The 19323-nt window shown below is 53.4% G+C and overlaps 1 protein-coding gene across 7 annotated transcripts in view, besides 4 other annotated features; it reads left to right on the top strand.

The window, feature by feature from the left end:
* Positions 3116-4076: an enhancer, noted in NCBI's record as "H3K4me1 hESC enhancer chr19:17798305-17799265 (GRCh37/hg19 assembly coordinates)". NCBI's record gives its function as "activates a minimal SCP1, AML or CMV promoter by ChIP-STARR-seq in naive H9 embryonic stem cells {active_cell/tissue: H9 hESC(naive)}" and the evidence as "EXISTENCE:reporter gene assay evidence [ECO:0000049][PMID:30033119]".
* The window catches only part of UNC13A (unc-13 homolog A), an 87019-nt gene continuing 70913 nt past the window's right edge, over positions 3218-19323 (top strand). For 6 of the 7 annotated variants that reach the window (NM_001387022.1, NM_001387023.1, NM_001387021.1 and 3 more), the window contains exons 1-4: positions 3218-3394; positions 15531-15560; positions 16816-16915; positions 19077-19194. In NM_001387022.1, the coding sequence (NP_001373951.1) occupies positions 3373-3394; positions 15531-15560; positions 16816-16915; positions 19077-19194 (270 nt within the window). In that variant the 5' untranslated portion in view covers positions 3218-3372. The remainder of the gene's footprint in view (positions 3395-15530; positions 15561-16815; positions 16916-19076; positions 19195-19323) is intronic. The other variant, XM_011527810.3, reaches the window with a different exon arrangement.
* Positions 3700-3882: a silencer, noted in NCBI's record as "fragment chr19:17798499-17798681 (GRCh37/hg19 assembly coordinates)". NCBI's record gives its function as "represses an EF-1alpha promoter that drives an FKBP-Casp9 reporter gene in an ReSE screen in HepG2 liver carcinoma cells {active_cell/tissue: HepG2}" and the evidence as "EXISTENCE:reporter gene assay evidence [ECO:0000049][PMID:32094911]".
* Positions 4077-5038: an enhancer, noted in NCBI's record as "H3K4me1 hESC enhancer chr19:17797343-17798304 (GRCh37/hg19 assembly coordinates)". NCBI's record gives its function as "activates a minimal SCP1, AML or CMV promoter by ChIP-STARR-seq in primed H9 embryonic stem cells {active_cell/tissue: H9 hESC(primed)}" and the evidence as "EXISTENCE:reporter gene assay evidence [ECO:0000049][PMID:30033119]".
* Positions 14420-14489: an enhancer, noted in NCBI's record as "active region_14281". NCBI's record gives its function as "activates an Ori minimal core promoter by ATAC-STARR-seq in GM12878 lymphoblastoid cells {active_cell/tissue: GM12878}" and the evidence as "EXISTENCE:reporter gene assay evidence [ECO:0000049][PMID:35858748]".

Below are 19323 nucleotides of genomic sequence, written 5' to 3'. Positions count from 1 at the left end.
AGATGGGCAGATCACCTGAGGTCAGGAGTTCGAGACCAGCCTGACCAACATGGAGAAACCCCGTCTCTACTAAAAATTACAAAAAAATTAGCTGGGCATGGTGGCACATGCCTGTAATCCCAGCTACTCAGGAGGCTGAGGCAGGAGAATTGCTTGAACCTGGGAGGCGGAGGTTGCGGTGAGCTGAGATCGTGCCATTGCACTCCAGCTTGGGCAACAAGAGCAAAACTCTGTCTCAAAAAAAAAAAAAAAAAAAAAAAAAAAAAAAAAGCCAGGCAAGGTGATGGGCGCCTGTAATCCCAGCTACTCGGGAGGCTGAGGTAGGAGAATCGCTTGAACCTGGGAGGCAGAGATTGCAGTGAGCGGAGATTGTGCCACTGCACTCCAGCCTGGGTGACAGAGTGCAGCTCTGTTTCAAAAAACAAACAAACAAACAGATTAGTAAAGAATGTGAACAAAGTCAAATGAGGTGGCTCATGCCTGTAATTTCAGCACTTTGGGAGTCCAAGGCAGGCAGATTGTTTGAACCCCAGAGTTCAAGACAAGCCTGGGCAACATAGTGAGACCCTCATCTCTAATTAGCCAGGCATGGAGGTGCATGCCTGTTGTTCCAGGTACTTGGGAGGCTGAGACAGGAGGATTGTCTGAGCTCAGGAGCTCACACCACTGTACTACAGCCTGGGTGACACAATGAGACCTTGTCTCAAAAAAATAGAAACATGCAAGAGGTAACCATGTATTGTTTGCTAAGGAGCATGTGGTAAACTATAAGGAAAAGGAAGAAAATGAAAAACAAAATTTGTGATAGTTCTTCCATCTGCAGGGAAGGATTATGAGATTGGGGAGAGGCACATGGGGGTCTTTTATTGTGATGGTATTTTTTTTTTTTTTTGAGACGGAGTCTCTCTCTGTCACCCAGGCTGGAGTACAGTGGCCCGATCTCGGCTCACTGCAAGCTCCGCCTCCCGGATTCACGCCTTTCTCCTGCCTCAGCCTCCTGAGTAGCTGGGAATACAGGCGCCCGCCACCACGCCCGGCTAATTTTTTGTATTTTTAGTAGAGACGGGTTTTACCGTGTTAGCCAGGATGGTCTCGATCTCCTGACCTTGTGATCACCCCGCCTCAGCCTCCCAAAGTGCTGGTATTATAGGCGTGAGCCACCGAGCCCGGTCGATGGTAATTTTTTTTATCCAAGCCTGCTCCTCATAGTTTATCTACTCATTGATGTTTAATAAAACATCAATGTTTTATTGATTATCAATGTTTAATAAAACATCTACTCATTGATGTTTAATAAAAATTTAAGACCAGGCATGGTGGCTCATGAGCCTGTAATCCCAACATTTTGGGAGGCTGAGACGGGAGGATCACTTGAGCCCAGGAGTTTGAGACAGCCTGTGCGACATGGTGAAACTCTGTCTCTACAAAAAATACAAAAATTAGCTGTGCTGATTTTTTTAAAAATTTAAAGCAGTGACAGATACAAACATGGTTACTATTAGGCATTAAGATTACAACTGGGGCCAGGCGCGGTGGCTCATTCGTGTAATCCCAGCATTTTGGGAGGCCACGGTGGGTGGATCACTTGAGGTCAGGAGTTTGAGACCAGCCTGGCCAACATGGTGAAACCCCATCTCTACAAAAAATACAAAAAAATTAGCTGGATGTGGTGGCGAGCGCCTGTAATCCCAGCTACTCAGGAGGCTGAGGCAGGAAGATCACTTGGAGGTTGAGGTTGCAGTGAACTGAGATGGTGCCACTGCACTCCAGCCTGGGCCACAGATTGAGACTACACCTCCAAAAAAAAAAAAATTACAACTGGTTTCACATGTTAACTCATGTAATACCTCCAGCAACCTTGTGAGGCAGGACTTGTTATCATATTCATTCTACAGGTGCGGAAACTGAGGCACGAGGAGGTCACAAGACCTGCCCAAGGCCATGCTTGTGATGAGAGACAGAGTTTGGTTTTGAACAATGGCCTCACTCAACTCCATGCACATTCTGCATTTATGAAGCTCTTTCATGTGGGCTGGGGGCAGGAGACCCTGTGGGGCTCAGCCTTTCATGCTAGTTTAGGTGCCAGTGATACAGCGAGCAGGTTGCAGGGCAAGGGGCCCACATGGAGCTGCCCAGTTTGATATGTGGGGAGGGGGCCAGGCGCAGTGGCTCAGGTCTGAATCCCAGCACTTTGGGAGGCCGAGATGGGCGGATCCCCTGAGGTCAAGTGTTCAAGACCAGGCTGGCCAACATGGTGAAACCTCGTCTCTACTAAAAATAAAAAAAATAAAATAAAAAAAAAAAGCTGGGCATGGTGGCATGCGCCTGTAGTCCCAGCTACTCGGGGAGGCTGAGGCAGGAGAATCTCTTGATCCCAGGAGGCAGAGGTTGCAGTGAGCCAAGATTGCGTCACTGCATTCCAGCCTGGGCTGCAGAGGGAGACTCCATCTAAAAAAAAGAAAAGTGGGGAGGAGTGGCAGAGTTTCGTTCGGGTCAGGGCCCAATCAGAGGAAGGGATAGGGGCTGGGGGAGTCCAGAGAGGAGAAACAAAGGCTCAGCTTGGGGCAGTCAGGGAAGCCTTCCTGGAGGAGAGGATATTCAGACAAGACATTGATGGATGAAAAGGAGTTCAGAGTGTGGGCAAGGACCCATGGGCTGGATGGCTTAGAGACATAGAGAGAGACCTAGACAGGATGCAGTAGAGCTGCAAAAAGACTTTACAGAGAGAGGCTAAGAGACACATGACTGAGAGAGCAGTGGACAGAGTCAGAGGAACAGAGACCCAGGGAGAGAAAGAGACCAGGCAGTAGAGTTAGAGAGACAGAGACGTAGAGACAGAGGAAGAGAGATACTCAGAGAACAGGACCATCTGCCCGGTGCTGGTGCCGGGCGTACACACAAGAGCTTGCATTTGCCTGTACTTGCTTGAGTATTGCAGGGAGGCGTTTGCCCAGGTTACCAGGGCAGGAATGTCCATGCATGGGTGGCGGGGGCACGTGCACCATTTCAGTGCAGGTGAGGGTCTGCACAGGAGGAAACCTGCTTGGGGGCCGCCGTCGCCCCTTGTCCCCCTGCAACGAGGAGGTGTGGGGCGAGGCGCCCCTTCCCGGAGCCAGGCCCTTTAACGCCCCCCCAGCCCGCAGCGCCCCCGCCCCATCAGGCGTCCCTGGGCTCCGCCTGCCCGCCCCGCATCAGCGCCACGTCAGGCGCTGTCCGCGCCCCCGGTGCTGAACCAAGATGGCCGGTGGCGGCCGGGCCCCGGCGTGAGCCAAGCGCGGGCTGCAGCCGGGAGATGCCCCAGCCCAGCGGCCGCTGAGCCCGACCCGACAGAGCCGGCCCGGCCGCCTCCGGCCCACCTGCGAGCTCGGAGACATGTCTCTGCTTTGCGTTGGAGGTAGGAGGCGAGGCTGGGGGTCGGGGGACCCGTGTGGACGCGGGCTGGGGTCGGGGTCCGCGTGGATGCGGCTCCCAGGGGGTTCCTGGGGGGTGACCCGAGTCCAGGTGGCTGGACTTTTGAGAGGGGTAGCCCTTGTCGACGCAGCTGGGCCCCGGAGGGGGTGATCCGTGTAGACGCGGCAGGGCTCTCGGGGGTCCTGGTGGCCGCTGCTGGAGGGGTCGTGTGGACGCGGCTGAACGCGGAGGCCCGTGTGGACGTGGACGGGTATCCGGGGTTCTACCCGGAAACGATCTAGACTGGGGCGTCTGTGTAGACCAGGTTTTTAGAGGGTCAGTGAGGAAGAGTCTGGGCTCGGTAGTTTGATTGAAGCCTGCAGGGGTGCTTGGAAGGGGTCTGGTGTTGTGGGCTGGGTTACGGGTCCTCATGGACGCGGACCCGGCTGGAAATTCGAAGGAGAGTGCGGTGGGAGGGTTCTCCAAGCCGTGGGGATGTAAGATATAGGTAGAGGGGCTTGGCCATCAGGGCATCCACGAGTTCTAGGACTCTCCCAGCCCTAGGTGTAAAGAGGACTGGAGTGGGGGGAGTGTGGAGACAGGAGACCCCTCCCAGCGTCCAGAGAGGGCTGTGACTGGAGGTCTGGGGGCGCTTTTCCAGTTAACTCTTTGGCCTCCCGAGTGAGGGGGTTGGAGGAATGTCCAGAAGGTCTTCCCGCTCCCTGCCCCCTCCGGTTCTCCCAAACACGTTTCAGGGCCTTCTCGGCAGGGAGCCTACTTCTTGGAAGAGCAATGTCTCCTGGTCCCCCTCCTGGCCCATCCTCACCTCACCCACTTTGCACTGGAGAGAGGGAGGGAGGGAGACGTGAGGTGGGGGGGGAGCTATTTTGGGGCCAGAACGCCATCTGCACAGAGGCCCACGCCCAGGCCCACGCTCTGCGTTGGGGTTGGAGGAGGGAGGGAGACGTGGGAGGGGCATGACCCCCCACCCCACACCTTTATGGCTCTGGGGTCGTGGGGAAGCCAGCCCAACCGAACCCAGGCGTTCTGGGCACTCCCGTTTGAGAAATCAAACTCTGGGAGACCTTGGGCGGCAGGGGTGGATGTGGACCGCCGTTCCACGCCTACAGAGCTCTGAACCCCTGGTTCTTAAGGACTGGGGTCCCCCCGTCACTCCCACCCATTTCAAGAAGGCTGGGGTGGGGGAAGGGGTGTGTCTGCCAAGCCTGAGACTGCAGGCTTCGGGAGACCTCGGGCGACAGGAAGCGTGCGTGTGCTGAACTCCTGCTGCCTGGACACAGGGTGGGCAGGCCGGGGAGCCGGGAACCGCCCCCGCCGCCCCTCCTCCTCCCTCCCCTCCCCCTCGGCCGATTCATTCACAAACCCTGCCCCGCCCGCCCGCTCCCCGCCGCGGCAGCTTCCGAGTGCAAATCCGGCCGGGCTGGGCCGGCGTGGACGCGGGTGTTCTTAAAGGGACAGGGGCCTACTTTCTCTAAGCTCGTTTCTGCTGGACGGGGCTGGGGGTGGTGGAAGAAGGGTCCCTAGAGTCAAAGGTCAACTCCTCCATCCCCTAGCCTCCAGGCCTATGGAGTTAGGGGAGTAGGGAAGTGAAGGAGACCCCTAGGCGACCCCCACCGCCTAGGCCTGAGGACGGAATGGGAGGAGAACTTGAATGTCCAGACCCCCTACTGACCTCTCCCCCTGCTCTAAGTAGCCGGGCTCTTAAAGGTGGCACTGGAGGAGGTTCCGACGTGGGTGTTCTTGGCTGACTCCTCTATCCTCTCTCTTCTCCCCCCAGCATCCCGCCCCACCCCGCCTCACATCCTCCAAGTTGGGCTTCTCTGGAAGGTTTGCCTAGTGGAGTGGGGGGGGGGGGGGGGGGGCGGGGATCTCACCCTTAACTCTGACGCAAACAGGAGGCTCGGCTGCGGGGGTGGCATTAAGGGGGGGCAGCAGGAGGCAAGAGGGATGAGGCTTCCAGAAACAGAGACGTTGGGGGAGGACTGTGCTGGATTCTGTGGACTTTACAGGGAGGGGCCCGGCTGAGTGGAGAGGAATCGCTGGGAGGGGCAAGGCTGGGGAAGAGGTTGACAGGGGTGGGAGGTAAGGCCCTCAGGTGTAAAGGGAGGTGTGAGGTTGGAGTGAGGAGGAGTAGGAGGCAGGGAGGGGTGGGGAGAGGGAGAAGTGCTGGGTGAGGCCAGTCTCCCAGGGAGAGGTGGGATGGTGCCCAGAGAGGGGAGGGGCTGGGATGGCTGAGCACGAGAGATGTTGGGGTGGGCTTGGCAGGAGTGAAGCTAGGCTGAGATGGGTTGCCGTGTTGCCTGAGCTCAGCTGAGGAAATACCTGTCCCCCCTCCCCTCCACCGGGGACCCACAGGCGTTTGCCAATCCCTACACACATTCATACCCAGACTTGTTCCTGTGTGGACACAAATGCTTAGGATGTATGAAGGCTCTACGCAGACCATGTGCCTGGGAAGGCACATTCCGTAGGCACACGTGTGTACTCAAATGCCTGTGTGAACACAAGCATACACGTGTATATAGGACACAGTCTGCCGCTACAGATATAGTCCCAGCAACACACGTGTGAGTGTGTGTGTCTGCCAGCACGCATATAGATGTATCCACGTGTCTGATGAATGCTCACAATATACATGTCACATAAAGATCCACCCATGTCCAGCCGAGCGCGGTGGCTCAGGCCTGTAATCTCATCACTTTGACTTTGGGAGGCCAAGGTGGGCAGATCACTTGAGGTCAGGAGTTCAAGACCAGCCTGGCCAACATGGTGAAACTTTGTCACTGCTAAAAAATAAAAAAAATTAGCCAGGTGTGGTGGCGCGCACCTGTAGTCTCAGCTACTCGGGAGGCTGAGGAAGGAGAATCACTTGAATAGGGGAGGTGGAGGTTGCAGTGAGCTGAGATCCTGCCACTGTACTCCAGCCTGGGCAACACAGTGAGACTCTGTCTCAAAAAAAAAGATTCACTCATGTCCTAACACTCAGACATGTACCCATACATATCTGTTAAGGTCCCCAACCCCATGAAGCACATATATATTCATATAAGCACATGTCAAAGCCATGTGTGTATGCACATGACAACACTTGCCTGGACATTCAAAGCAGCCCCTTTCAACAAGTGGATGATGATGCATACAAGTAAATACACATTTGAGTATTTCATTGCACACAAGTGCATACATGTATGCAGATAAACAAATACAGCTGCCACAGAACTGCATCCATGTACACATGCAAACATCAATATGTGTGTTTTCCACCTAACATATCACCCACAAGCTCACACACACCAGTGTGTCTCTGATGTAGTGACACCCCACTCCTAGACACACATGTGCAGACTCCCACCTGCACTTAAATGGTGCACATACTCTGCACACATGCACACTCATATCCATGTAGAGGCAGGCACCTGCCTGCCCTGGTAAGATGAGCCAACTACTGCTGCAAATACCCAAGCAAGTACAGGCAAATGCAAGCTCTTGTGTATACACCCAGCACCAACACATAGCAGACCACCCTGTATGGTGTATGGGCCTTATCTCTGCCCGCTTCATTTATTTATTCATGTGGTGCCCCGCTGCTTCCCAACATCGTAATCCACTGACTAGGTCTTGGCAGGATCCTGAGGCTGTGAATGGTAAATGCCACCTGGTTCCTTCATGAAGTCACTTATTTTATTTATGCAACAAGCATTAATTGAGCACCTACTGTATACCAGGCACTGTTCCTGGCTCTGGGACCCAGCCCTATTCCTAGCCATCACTCCTGCACGTCCCATGGGGTTAGAATGAAAGAGATGAGGGAGGGCTAAGGGAGCTGAGGAGTGGGGTATCCAGGGCTCTCTTCCTCTGGGAAGCCTACCCTGATTCCACCACCACCATTTACTTGAGTCTCAGAAGATGTGATGAGGGGGAGATGAGCAGGAGGGAGATGGTGCTCTGGGTGGAGGGAACAGCATGAGCAAAAGCATGGTGGTGTGAAGGGTTACTTCCAGATCTTCCTATGTGCCTCACAGCATTTTGCACAGGCCACTTGATGTTTTGTTTTGTTTTGAGACAGAGTCTCACTCAAAGCCTGTTACTCAGGCTGCAGTGCAGTGGCATGATCTCAGCTTGCTGCAGCCTTGACCTCCAGGGCTCAAGTGATCCTCCTGCCTCAGCCTCCCAAGTAGCTGGGAGTATAGGCATGCACCACCACACCCGGCTGACTTTTTTCTTTTTAATTTTTTGCAGAAGCAGGGTTTTGCCCTGCTGCCCAGGCTGGTCTTGAACTCCTGGGCTCAAGTGATTCACCCTCCTCAGCCTCCCAAAGTGCTAGGATTACAGGTGTGAGCCACCACGCCCAACTGATGTTTTAAAGGCTCTATAAACATGTTATGAATAAATGACATGAACAAATCAGTGAATTTAGGTGAGGGTGGGTTTGCTTCACAACTTACAATAATATCAACAACAAACCCCATTTATCCAGCTTTTTTGTTTGTTTGTTTGTTTTTTGAGACACGGTCTCACTCTGTCACCCGGACTGCAGTGTAGTGGTGTGATCTCGGTTCACTGAAACCTCCACCTTCCAAGTTCAAGCGATTTTCCTGCCTCAGCCTCCCGAGTAGCTGGGATTACAGGCACGTGCTACCACACCTAGCTAGTTTTTGTATTTTTAGTAGAGATGGGGTTTCTCATCTCTACTAAAAATACAAATACATCTCTAGTGGCCAGGCTGGTCTTGAACTCCTGACTTCAAGTGATCCTCTTGCCTCGGCCTCCCAATGTACTGAGATTACAGGCTCGAGCCACCGTGCCCAGCCCAGCATTTCATAGGCATGATGTTAAGGATTTTTATGCCCATGCCCTCTTTAACTCTTACAGTAGCCCCATTGTACAGATGAGGAAAACTGAGGCTCAGGGAGCTTTAACAACTTGCCTGGTGGAACAGAGCCAGAGGTGGAGCTGACTGACTCTAGAGCCTACTGGGGTTGGCAGAAGTTTGAGCCTTCTCTCAGACCCCAGGACCTCGGAGACAGCCAAGTCCCTTCTGTGGAGTGATGTTCTGCCCTGGGATTGCCTTCTTCTTTCTATTTATTTATTTATTGGAGACAGAGTCTGGCTCTGTTGCCCAAGCTGGAGTGCAGTGGCACAATTTCAGTTCACTGTAACCTCCTCCTCCCGGGTTCAAGCAATTCTCCTGCCTCAGCCTCCTGAGTAGCTGAGATTACAGATGCACACCATCATGCCCAGCTAATTTTTTGTATTTTTAGTGGAGATGGGGTTTCACCATGCTAGCCAGGCTGGCCTCGAACTCCTGACCACCAAGTGATCTACCTGCTTTGGCCTCCCAAAGTGCTGGGATTACAGGCATGAGCCACTGTGCCCAGCCAGGATTGCTTTCTTCTCTCATGCATCTAGTAAACAGACATGTCACAATCTCTCCATTCATCGGGGCTATTCCCCTGCTCCTTGCCTAAGAAGCCTTCACACATCCCTCCGTTCCTGGCTACTCAGTCCCTGATACCCTCCAGCTAGGAGGAGCTGCATCTAGGTCTTAGCTCCTACCGTTCTCATGGGATGCCCTCCAGAGTTGCATCTTCAGGGCTGCAGCCTAACCCTTTCCCTAACCTGGCCTCACTTTTCTTCCACATACAATGGACCTCTTCTGCAAGGTGCCAATAAGGGCATCCTGGGTCCAGCAGGCCTGAGTGTGAATTGCTAAGTCCACCACTTCCTGGCAAGTCTCACATCCTCTGCATTCCTTGGTGTGCTCATCTGTGGAATGGGCACAGGAGTAGCATCCACCATCTACGTTTGCCAGAACTCTCTAATGAGGCTTGCAGAGCCCCTGGCATGACTCCTGGCCTACGGGAAGGCCCAATAATCGTGAGCAAAAGACATGAAAAATCAATGATGGGCCGGCCCCGGTGGCTCACGCCTGTAATCCCAGCACTTTGGGAGGCCTAGGCGGGCAGATCTCCTGAGCTCAGGAGTTCAAGACCACCCTGGGCAACATGGTGAAACCCTGTCTTTACTAAAATACAAAAAAATTAGCTGGGTATGGTGGCGCGCGCCTGTAGTCCCAGCTACTCAGGGGGCTGAGGCACGAGAATCGCTTAAGCCCCGAAGGCGGAGGTTGCAGTGAGCCGAGGTCGCGCCACTGCACTCCAGCTTGGGCTACAGAGTGAGACTCCGTCAAAAAAAAAAAAAAAAAAAAATCAATGATGATGTTTTTATTAATGGAGACTAAAAGCTTTCTGGAAGGCGGTTCTGAGTGCAGGACATTTCTGAGAGTCCACTGCATTCTGGGGCCCGAGGAGCGCTCCAAGAGGGGTCCCCCAGGGCCACTCCAGGAGGGAGCCTAGTTCGTTGAGGGTACACGGGTGGGACCGAGCATTCAGCACCGTGGACAGCGCCTGCCCGCGCCTCTGGGGGACAGCTCTTAGCTCAGCCTCCCAGGATTAATGGAGGAGGTGACGTCATTCCTTCCGTGAATTACTATTTAATGAGCACCTACTATAGGCTAGGCCTACTTCTAAGTGGTTCATGGTAAACAACACACACACAAATCCCTTATTCCCGAAGCTCTCTGGAACTCCAGGTTCTTGGTGTTTTTTACACTGAAGGCTCAGTCTGGCTCTGGTCTATTTGTGTCAACGGAGGATAAGGGTCCTCATTTAGTGTCTCCCAGATGCGAAACCAGCACAGCTGAGGTCTTTTATCCTAAAGCCCATCCATCTCCCGCTGAAATGCCCTCCACCAACATCACACACAAAACGATCAAATCTCCTATAATCTATTTCTGGATTCTCTATGCTTCCTCCCTTCCCCCAAGCTAATCCTGGGGCGGGTGGGCTTTCAGAAGCCCTAGACGGCTGGATCTCCACCTCCTGTCTCCCCACCCCATCCCACGTGGCAGGTCAGGGAGCCAGTGCCCCAAGACTGCAGTCCCCCCTAATTAGAATCCAGGGTCAGTCAGCCATGTGGTTCACGCCTGTAATTCCAACACTTTGGGAGGCCGAGGGGATGGCTTGAGCCTTGAAGCCAGCCATAGCAACATAGCAAGACCCCATCTCTACAAAAAAAAAAAAAAAAAAAAAGGAATAGCCAAGCATGGTGATGCGCACCTGCAGTCTCAGCTACTCGAGAGGCTGAGTGGGGAGGATCGCTTGAACCTGGGAGATCGAGGCTGCAGTGAGCCATGATCACACCACTGCCCTCCAGCCTGGAGCCTGGGCAACAGAGAGAGACCCTGTCAAAAAAAAAAAAAAAAAAAAAAAGAAAAGAAAAGAAAAAAAAAGAAGAAGAAGAAGAGAAAAGAAAGAAAAAGAAAAGAATCCAGGGTATTCAAATCCTAGAATCCAGGCCAGGGACACCTTTAGAACACAACCAAATAATAAAAACAGTAAAGATATCAGTAATAATAATAATAGTATAAATGACACTATAATCATTCTGCAGAAGGGGTGAGGGAGGAAGAGGAGGGAAGAAGAGGAGGAGAAAGGAGAGGGAAGGGAGATCAGCCACTCCGTCTCCCCATTTTCCAGATGCAGAAACGGAGGCGCGAAGCCAGGCTGCAGGGGTGTCCCGCAGCCTGAACTCCTGCCTCAGCCTCCCCGGGTACGGCCACTACATTCATCAGTCAGCGCTTCTGGGGGCCCCAAAGACCTTTGAGGCCGCATGACGCGGTGTCTTCACCCGCTCGTCGCTGGGGACAGCAGTGGGCACCCCCCTCATCCCCGCCCCCCTGTCCGCCGGCGCGCCTCCCACGCCCTCCGCGCGCCCACGCTATAAATAGCCTCATGCGTGTGACCCGAAGCCCGCTGGGGAAGGGTGGCGCTTCCGCCCCGCTGACCCTGATACAGCAACCCGGCGCAGGCGGGGAGGTGGCGGGATGTGACGACGAAGACGGTGACTCAGGGACCATTTACTGACCGGGGAAGACAGGGAGAGAGACTGGGTTCCTTCTCTGAGCCCCCTTCCTCCTCCAAGCCTCTCCCCCGATACCACCCTCCCCTCTGCGCCCATCCCCCTTCCCGAATCCCCTCCCTCACCGCGAACACCCTTCCCTCCTGAGAACCCCCTCGCCACTCTCGGCCCCCTTTCCTGTCCCCTTTTCCCTCTGAGACCCCTCTCCCACTGGGAGCCCCAGTGATGAAAAATCATGGATGTCCTCAACCTGGACCTCGGCAGGGAGCTAAGTGCAGGAGCCTGGCTTCAGCTATCAGAGGGTACAGCCCTCCAGCCGGTCCCCCACTGCCTGAGGACCCCAACGGAGACCATTCCCCTCTAGCCAAGAGAGGCTGCAGGAAGGAGCTGAGGCTTAGGGAAGAGGAGCCGGACTGACCAAGGGAGGGGCACAAGAAGGGCAGAGACAGTGAGAGAGAGAAGGAGAGAACAGAGACCAAAAGAAGACGACCAGAGTGGAGAGAAATAGAACGGGGAGGAGGGAGATGAGAGACAGGGATTGGGAAAGAGAGAGAGAGAACAGATCAAGGAGCTACTGGGCTCCCCGCTGAGCCTAAATCCATGGTTTATAAAACAGGGCACAGTTGGAGGAGCTTCAAGTGAGCCCAGCCCAGTCTAGACCCCAGTGAGCCCCTTGTATCACCCCCCAGAGCCTGTCACTTTCCCACCCCCATATGCATCCCTACTTTTCTCCCCCAACTGCCTCTCCTCTCCCCAGTGTCTCCTCCACCTGCCTGCCCTCCCTAGTGGAAATCTTTCCCCCTCTCTCTTTTATTATTATTATTATTATTATATATTTTTTGAGACAGAGTCTTGCTCTGTCGCCCAGGCTGGAGTGCAATGGCGTGATCTTGGCTCACTGCAACCTCCGCCTCCTGGGTTCAAGCGATTCTCCTGCCTCAGCCTCCCGAGTAGCTGGGACTACAGGCGTGCACCATCATGCCCGGCTAATTTTTGTATTTTTAATAGAGATGGGGTTTTACCATGTTGCCCAGGCTGGTCTCGAACTCCTGACCTCATGTGATCCACCTGCCTCGGCCTCAAAGTGCTGGGATTACAGATGTGGGCTACCACGCCCAGCCTCTCTCCCTTTTAAATTATTATTTTTAGACATGGGATCTTACTACATTGCCCAGGCTGGTCTTGAACTCCTGGGCTCAAGGGATCCTCCTGCCTTAGCCTTCCTAGTAGCTGGGATTACAGGCATGTGCCTCTATGCCTGGTACTCTCGCTGTCTCCTTGTGTCTCTCTATTTCTCTCCATCTGTCCAGACTCTCCTCTCTTGCTTTCATGCCCATCATTTCTTCCTCTCTCCTCTCCCTTCCTCTCCCTGTATGAGTCCCTCCAGCTGTGGGTGCCTTTCTCAGCCTCTGTCAGCATCCCCTCCACCCCCGATCCCGTCACATTCTACCTCTTGCCCCTTCCCCTGCCCACCCCCTTCACAGAGAGTCCCCACGCCTGCAGGCTGGACCTCCTCCAGGAGCCAGGCCCAAAGCTCCTGCTGGGCACATTCCTGAGTGTTCCTGAGCCTCTTTCAGTCCCAGGGGTGAGGTGCTGGGTGGGTGCGCTCCCTGGGGGCTGGGTGGGGCTGAGGATGTGAGCGAACAAACCAGACCTAGAAAAAAAAAAGACAGAGATGGAAGCAGAGATGAAGGCCCAGAGAGAGGGGTTCACTTGCCCAGGGTCACACAGCTCAGGAATCTGAACCTGGCTCAAACCAGCATTCACTTCTCTCAAGGCCCACCCAAGGGCTGCAGTGCAGTGGCACAATCTCAGCTCACTGCAACCTCTGCCTTCCAGGTTAAAGGGATTCTCCTGCCTCAGCCTCCCGAGTAGCTGGGATTAGAGGTGCGTGCCACCACACCCGGCTAATTTTTGTTATTTTAGGAGAGACGAGGTTTCCCCATGTTGTTCAGGCTGGTCTCGAACTCCTGACGTCAAGTGATCCACCTGCCTCGGCCTCCCAAAGTGCTGGGATTACAGGCATGAGCCACCGCGCCTGGCCAGGAACAGTCTTTACTGACATGTGTTTAGGGCCATCGCACTTCCCCCGCTCTTCACGGGAATTCTCTCTTCACTGGCTCCACTCAGGTGCCTTTTGTGAGACAGAAATTCAAGCGATGAGGACAGAGATACAAACCCGGGATGGGAGGCTGTGACATCTGCCCATAGAAACACAATTCTGTTTCTAGGAATTTATCCTTCAACTCGCTAGTACACGCTCTTCAAGACATACTGAAAAAACATGAAGGATTAGAACAGTGGGTGTCGAATGCTACCATTTGTCTTGGAAATCAAGCAAAACGAACGTGGGTATGGTTGCCGACGCATGGACCATCTCCAGTGGAACAAGGAACTGCCAACGTTGATTGCATTTGGGAGGGAGATGAAGGGCTGGGATGGAAAGAGCTTTATTCTCAGTGCCTCATCTTTTGGTTGTTTTGGATTTTACAACATGTGCATGCATTGCCTACACAAACAAAGACACTAATTTGAAAAGGAAAAGGGGAGAAGAAAAGAGGGAGGAAAGAAAAGGGGCCGGTGTGGCAGCTCACACCTGTCATCCCAGCACCTTGGGAGGCCAAGGCGGATGGATCACCTGAGATCAGGAGTTTGAGACCAGCCTGGCCGACATATACTGAAACCCTGTCTCTACTAAAAAATACAAAAATTAGCTGGGCATGGTGGCGCACGCCTGTAGTCCCAGCTACTTGGGAAGCTGAGGCAGGAGAATTGCTTGAATCTGGGAGGTAGAAGTTGCGGTGAGCTGAGATGGCACCACTGCACTCCAGCCTGGGCAATAGAGCAAGACTCCGTCCCTAAAAAAAAAAAGAAAAAAAAAAAGAAAAGAAAGAAAGGAAAGGGAGGGAAGAGCTCAGTGTGGGAGAAGATTGGGGGTGGGAGTAGAGAATTAATGGAGGAAAAAGATGTGGGGGACAAAAGCAAGGTGTGAGAGGTGTTGGCAATGGAAACTGAATACCTGTTGAGAAGAGCCAGGAGGGGGCGACATGGCTTTGAATCTCTTGGGGCTGTGAGATTATGTGAAATGTGAGAAGACTGGACCTCAGTGGGGTGCCTGACATATATTCAGGTTACACCTCCCACAAGCAGGTGGGGCTGGACAATCTCTGTCAACCCTCCAGCCAGGACCCAAGTGTCTCCCTGTACATTACTTTTGGTTGTTGTTGAGACAAGAATCTCACTCTGCTGCCCAGGCTGGAGTGCAGTGGCATGATCTTGGCTCACTGCAATCTCTGCCTCCTGGGTTCAAGTGATTCTCCTACCTCAGCCTCCCAAGTAGCTGAGACTATAGGCGCCTGCCACCACACCTGGCAAATTTTTGTATTTTTAGTAGAGACAAGGATTCACCATGTTGGCCAGGCTGGTCTTGAACTCCTGACCTCAGGTGATCCACCTGCTTCAGCCACCTAAAGTGCTGGGGTTATAGGTGTGAGCCACCGTGCCTCGCCCTCCACATGCATTTTGAGAGCCAGCTCTCTGGGTTGCTTTGTCCCAACTCACCCAGCCTTCTTTGAGGCTTCCCCAAACCCTGGGAGCATTTGACATTGCAGACTGAGCTGGACAATCAAGGGAGAGGTCTTGCTGACCTGTCGGGGCTGGTGGAGTCATCAGAGATTGTCTTTATCCTCGCCTTCTTCTTCTCCACCTCCTCAACTTCCCCTCTTCTTCTGGGGCAATCCTGGAGGGCTTCTTGTAGGAGGCCTCTCCCACCATCTGCCCAGCTCTTTCTTTCTAATCTTGTTCAATTGTGGGTAAAGGCACAGCTAGTTGGGAGCTTGGGGAGTTTGATGGGGACAGGGGATGCAGGGAGAGGGAGGGGCAGGGAATGCTCTCAGGGTCCAAATTTCCTTCCATTCTAGGGTTGCCTGTGCTCATCTGTCTGATGGCTTCTCTCTCTCCCTCTCATCCCTGCCTCCTCTTTCCTACCTCTCCTCCTCCCCTTGTCTCTGTCTCTGACATTGCTTCTATCTTTCTTTTTTAACATCTGTCTCTTTTGCTTTTTATCTTTGCCTGTCTCTCCTCTGTGTCTCTCTCCTTATGTCTCCATCTTGGTGTGTCTCTGAATCTCTCCGTATCTCTGCCTCCTCCTCCCCACATCTCTCCCCACCTCCCTTCCCTATCTCTGTCTCTCTCCACAGTCAAAAAAGCCAAGTTTGATGGTGCCCAAGGTAAGTGGCTTCTCTTGCTGTCCTGTCCCGTGTTGTCTGTCTGTCTGTCTGTCTCTTGGAGAGACTGGGAGGGGGTCCCAGCCCAGACTTAGAGTTGGGCTTTATGTCTTCTGAGCATCAGGAGAGGGGTCAGAAGATTAAATAGGGGGAGGGGCAGCCATTGGCCTGGGGTCCCTGCAGTTTGTATGGGGGTCCCCGGGTCTCCCCAGCCATCCTTGGAGAGTCTGTAAGGGGTGGGGCTTGCCCTGAGCCAGTGGCTCTTCCCAGGGTCCTAAGAGGTAGAATGGGGACTCTTAGATGGGGCTACAGGTGGGAAAAATGAGGCTCAGAGAGGCGAAAGGAGTTTCTTTCTTTTCTTCTTCTTCTTTTTTTTTTTTTTTTGAGACAGAGTCTCCTTCTGTTGCCCAGGCTGGAGTGCAGTGGCGTGATCTCGGCTCACTGCAACCTCTGCCTCTGGGTTCAAGCAATTCTCCTGCCTCAGCCTCCCAAGTAGCTGGGATTACAGGCGCCCTCTACCACGCCCGGCTAATTTTTTTATTTTTAGTAGAGATGGGGTTTCGCCATGTTGGCCAGGCTGGTCTCAAACTTCTGACCTTAAATGATCCGCCCGCCTCGGCCTCCCAAAGTGCTAGGATTGCAGGCGTGAGCTACCGTGCCCTGCCTTTTTATTATTATTATTTTTATTTAAAATTTTTATTTTTTGAGGCTGGAGTGCCGTGGTGCAATCATGTTTTACTACAGCCTCAACCTCCCAGGCTCAAGCAATCCTCCCACCTCAGCCTTCCAAGTAGCTGGGACCACAGGCGTGCACCACTGCACCCAGCTAATTATTTTTTTGTATTTTTTAGTAGAGATAGGGTTTTGCCAAGTTGCCCAGGCTGGTCTTGAACTGCTGGGCTCAAGCAATCCTCCCCCCTTGACCTCCCAAAGTGCTGGCATTATAGGCGCGAGCCACTGCACCCAGCCTGCAAAGGGGGTTTCTTACAGTCAATTTTGTTCCCCTTTTCTGGGACCTCAGTCTTTTTAGCTGAAAACCAATGGCATGGTCATTTCGAAGCAGCTGGATGAAGTATCCCAAAATTCCACGTCTCCCCACACTGAGGCCCCTCCCTTGTGCCCTGAGGGTGGGGTTGTGGGTTAGGGGGTGAGTGGCCCAGAAATTCCTGAGGGGATCACAGCAGATGGTCTAGAGCTTGGGAAGGGGCATTGGAGAGTCCCTGAGCCCCAGCGCTGACCCCTACTCTCACTGCCACAGAGAAATTCAACACGTACGTGACCCTGAAAGTGCAGAATGTCAAGAGCACGACCATCGCGGTGCGGGGCAGCCAGCCCAGCTGGGAGCAGGATTTCATGTTGTGAGTCTGCAGCGTCTGGCATGACCTCACTCCCTGGCATAGCCCAGCACCTCGCTGGCCCCTCAGGGCAGAGCTGGACACTGGGGAATCCCGGGTGACTCCCCTCTGTCCTCCCTCTTCCCCTGTCCACCTTATCACCTTCACCTCCAAAACACATCCCCAATCCAATCACTTCCCTTGGTCTCCGCAGCCACCAGCCAAGTCCCTGCTGCCCGCCAGCCTCCGCCCTGGCCTCCTGTGCCATCCACCTCCTACAATCTGTTCTCCTCCAGGCAGCCAGGGGGATATTTTTAAAACTGCAAATCACATCCTGTCGCTCCCATGTTCCAAACTTGTCCGTGGCTCATCGACCTCACAATAAAACCCACAGCCTTCCCCGTGATTCCCACCAGGTTCTCGCTCTATCTCCCTCACCTGCCCCAGCCACACCCACCTCTGCCCCTTTCTCCAACACTTCCCAGCTTGTTCTTGCCCCAGGGCCCTTGCACTTGCTCTCCTGTCCCCAGCTGGCTCTTCTCCTTCAGGTCTCAGCTTGTGTCACCTCCTCAGTGAAGCCCTCCCTGACCACTACCTCCAAGCTACAATTTCAGGGCATCATGCCTTCCCAGGCCTTGCCACCAATTTTGTTTGTTTGTTTGTTTGTTTTGAGGCAGAGCCTCACTCTGTTGCCCAGGCTGGAGTACAGTGGCATAATCTCGGCTCACTTCAACCTCCACCTCCCAGGTTCAAGTGATCCTCCTGCCTCAGCCTCCCAACTAGCTGGGATTACAAGCGTGTGCCACCACACCCGGCTAATTTTTGTGTTTTAAGTAGAGATGGTGTTTCACTATGGTGGCCAGGCTAGTCTCAAACTCCTGGACTCAGGTGATCCGCCCACCTCAGCCTCCCAAGGTGCTGGGATTATAGATGTGAGCCACCATGCCTGGCCAATGGAATTTTTTTCCTTTTTTTTTTGTTTTGTTTTGAGACAGAGCCTCACTCTGTGGCCCAGGCTGGAGTGTAGTGGTGCAATCTCGGCTCACTGCAACCTCTGCCTCCTGGGTTCAAGCTATTCTCCTGCCTTAGCCTCCCGAGTAGCTGGGACTACATGTGCGTGCCACCATGCCCGGCTAATTTTTGTGTATTTAGTAAAGACCGGGTTTCACCATGTTGGCCAGGCTGGTCTTGAACTTTTAACCTCAGGTGATCCACCCGCCTCGGCCTCCCAAAGTGCTGGGATTATAGGCATGAGCCAGGAGCCACCAATCCCAGCCAACAGATATATATATCAGATATATATATACTTTTTTTTTTTTTTTTGAGACTGAGTTTTGCTTTTGTTGCCCAGGCTGGAGTGCAATGGCGTGATCTCGGCTCACCGCAACCTCCGCCTCCTGGGTTCAAGCAATTCTCCTGCCTCAGCCTCCCGAGTAGCTGGAATTACAGACATGCACCACCACGCCCGGCTAATTTTGTATTTTTAGTGGAGATGGGGTTTCTCCATGTTGGTCAGGCTGGTCTTAAATTCCCAACCTCAGGTGATCCGCCCATCTCGGCCTCCCAAAGTGCTGGGATTACAGGCGTGAGCCACCGTGGTTGGCCATATTTTAAAAATATATTTCTTAAGATAAATCTTTGGTAAACTGTAAATTCAGTGAATCTCACATTTCACCAAGTTTCCTGCTCCCCCGAATTCACATATGTCTAGGGCGAGGCCTGCAGGGAAAGTGCTTTGAGGTGGGATCGTGTCCTCACATCATTAGATGGGGATGACACTGGGAAGGACAGAGGTGACCCGAATGTCCTTATCCTGTAGGTAAAGGGAGCTATGGAGGGTATTTGAGCCTCTTCCTCACTTACCCAGCATGGTCAGTGTTGGAGGGCCCAAGGAAGGGCTCAGAAAGATGAAGGTGCAGGCGATGTGTAACATCTGTCCCCACGCCATCCTTCCCGGCTTTGAATCCTGGTTCTTTTGTGATACCCCGAGCTCTTAACTTCCCCCACTGGCCTCAGTTTCCCCTCTATAAAATGAGAACCACCATGTTACCCTACCACCTAGGACACTCCCAGGCCTAGGTTTGAATTGCAGTATGCTGTGTGTTCTCAGGCGAATCAACTAAACTCCCTGGGCCCCCGTTTCCTCCCTCCTGCTCCCTCGACGCCCCCTCTCCTTTTTCTGCAGCGAGATTAACCGTCTGGATTTGGGACTGACGGTGGAGGTGTGGAATAAGGGTCTCATCTGGGACACAATGGTGGGCACTGTGTGGATCCCACTGAGGACCATCCGCCAGTCCAATGAGGTGAGTGGCGGGTGGCCTGAGGGTGAAGAAGGAGGAGTGCCTTGCAGAAGCCCAGAGACCAGTGGACTAAACAAGATGGGCATTTATCTCCTATCCCCTGACAACATCAATGTAGACACTTGGGATTGC

The sequence above is a fragment of the Homo sapiens genome, chromosome 19 (genome assembly GCF_000001405.40).
Source record: "Homo sapiens chromosome 19, GRCh38.p14 Primary Assembly".
Taxonomy (NCBI): Eukaryota; Metazoa; Chordata; class Mammalia; order Primates; family Hominidae; genus Homo; species Homo sapiens.
The sequence above is the reverse complement of the archived record's forward strand: the minus strand, read 5'-3'. Positions and strand labels throughout refer to the sequence as shown.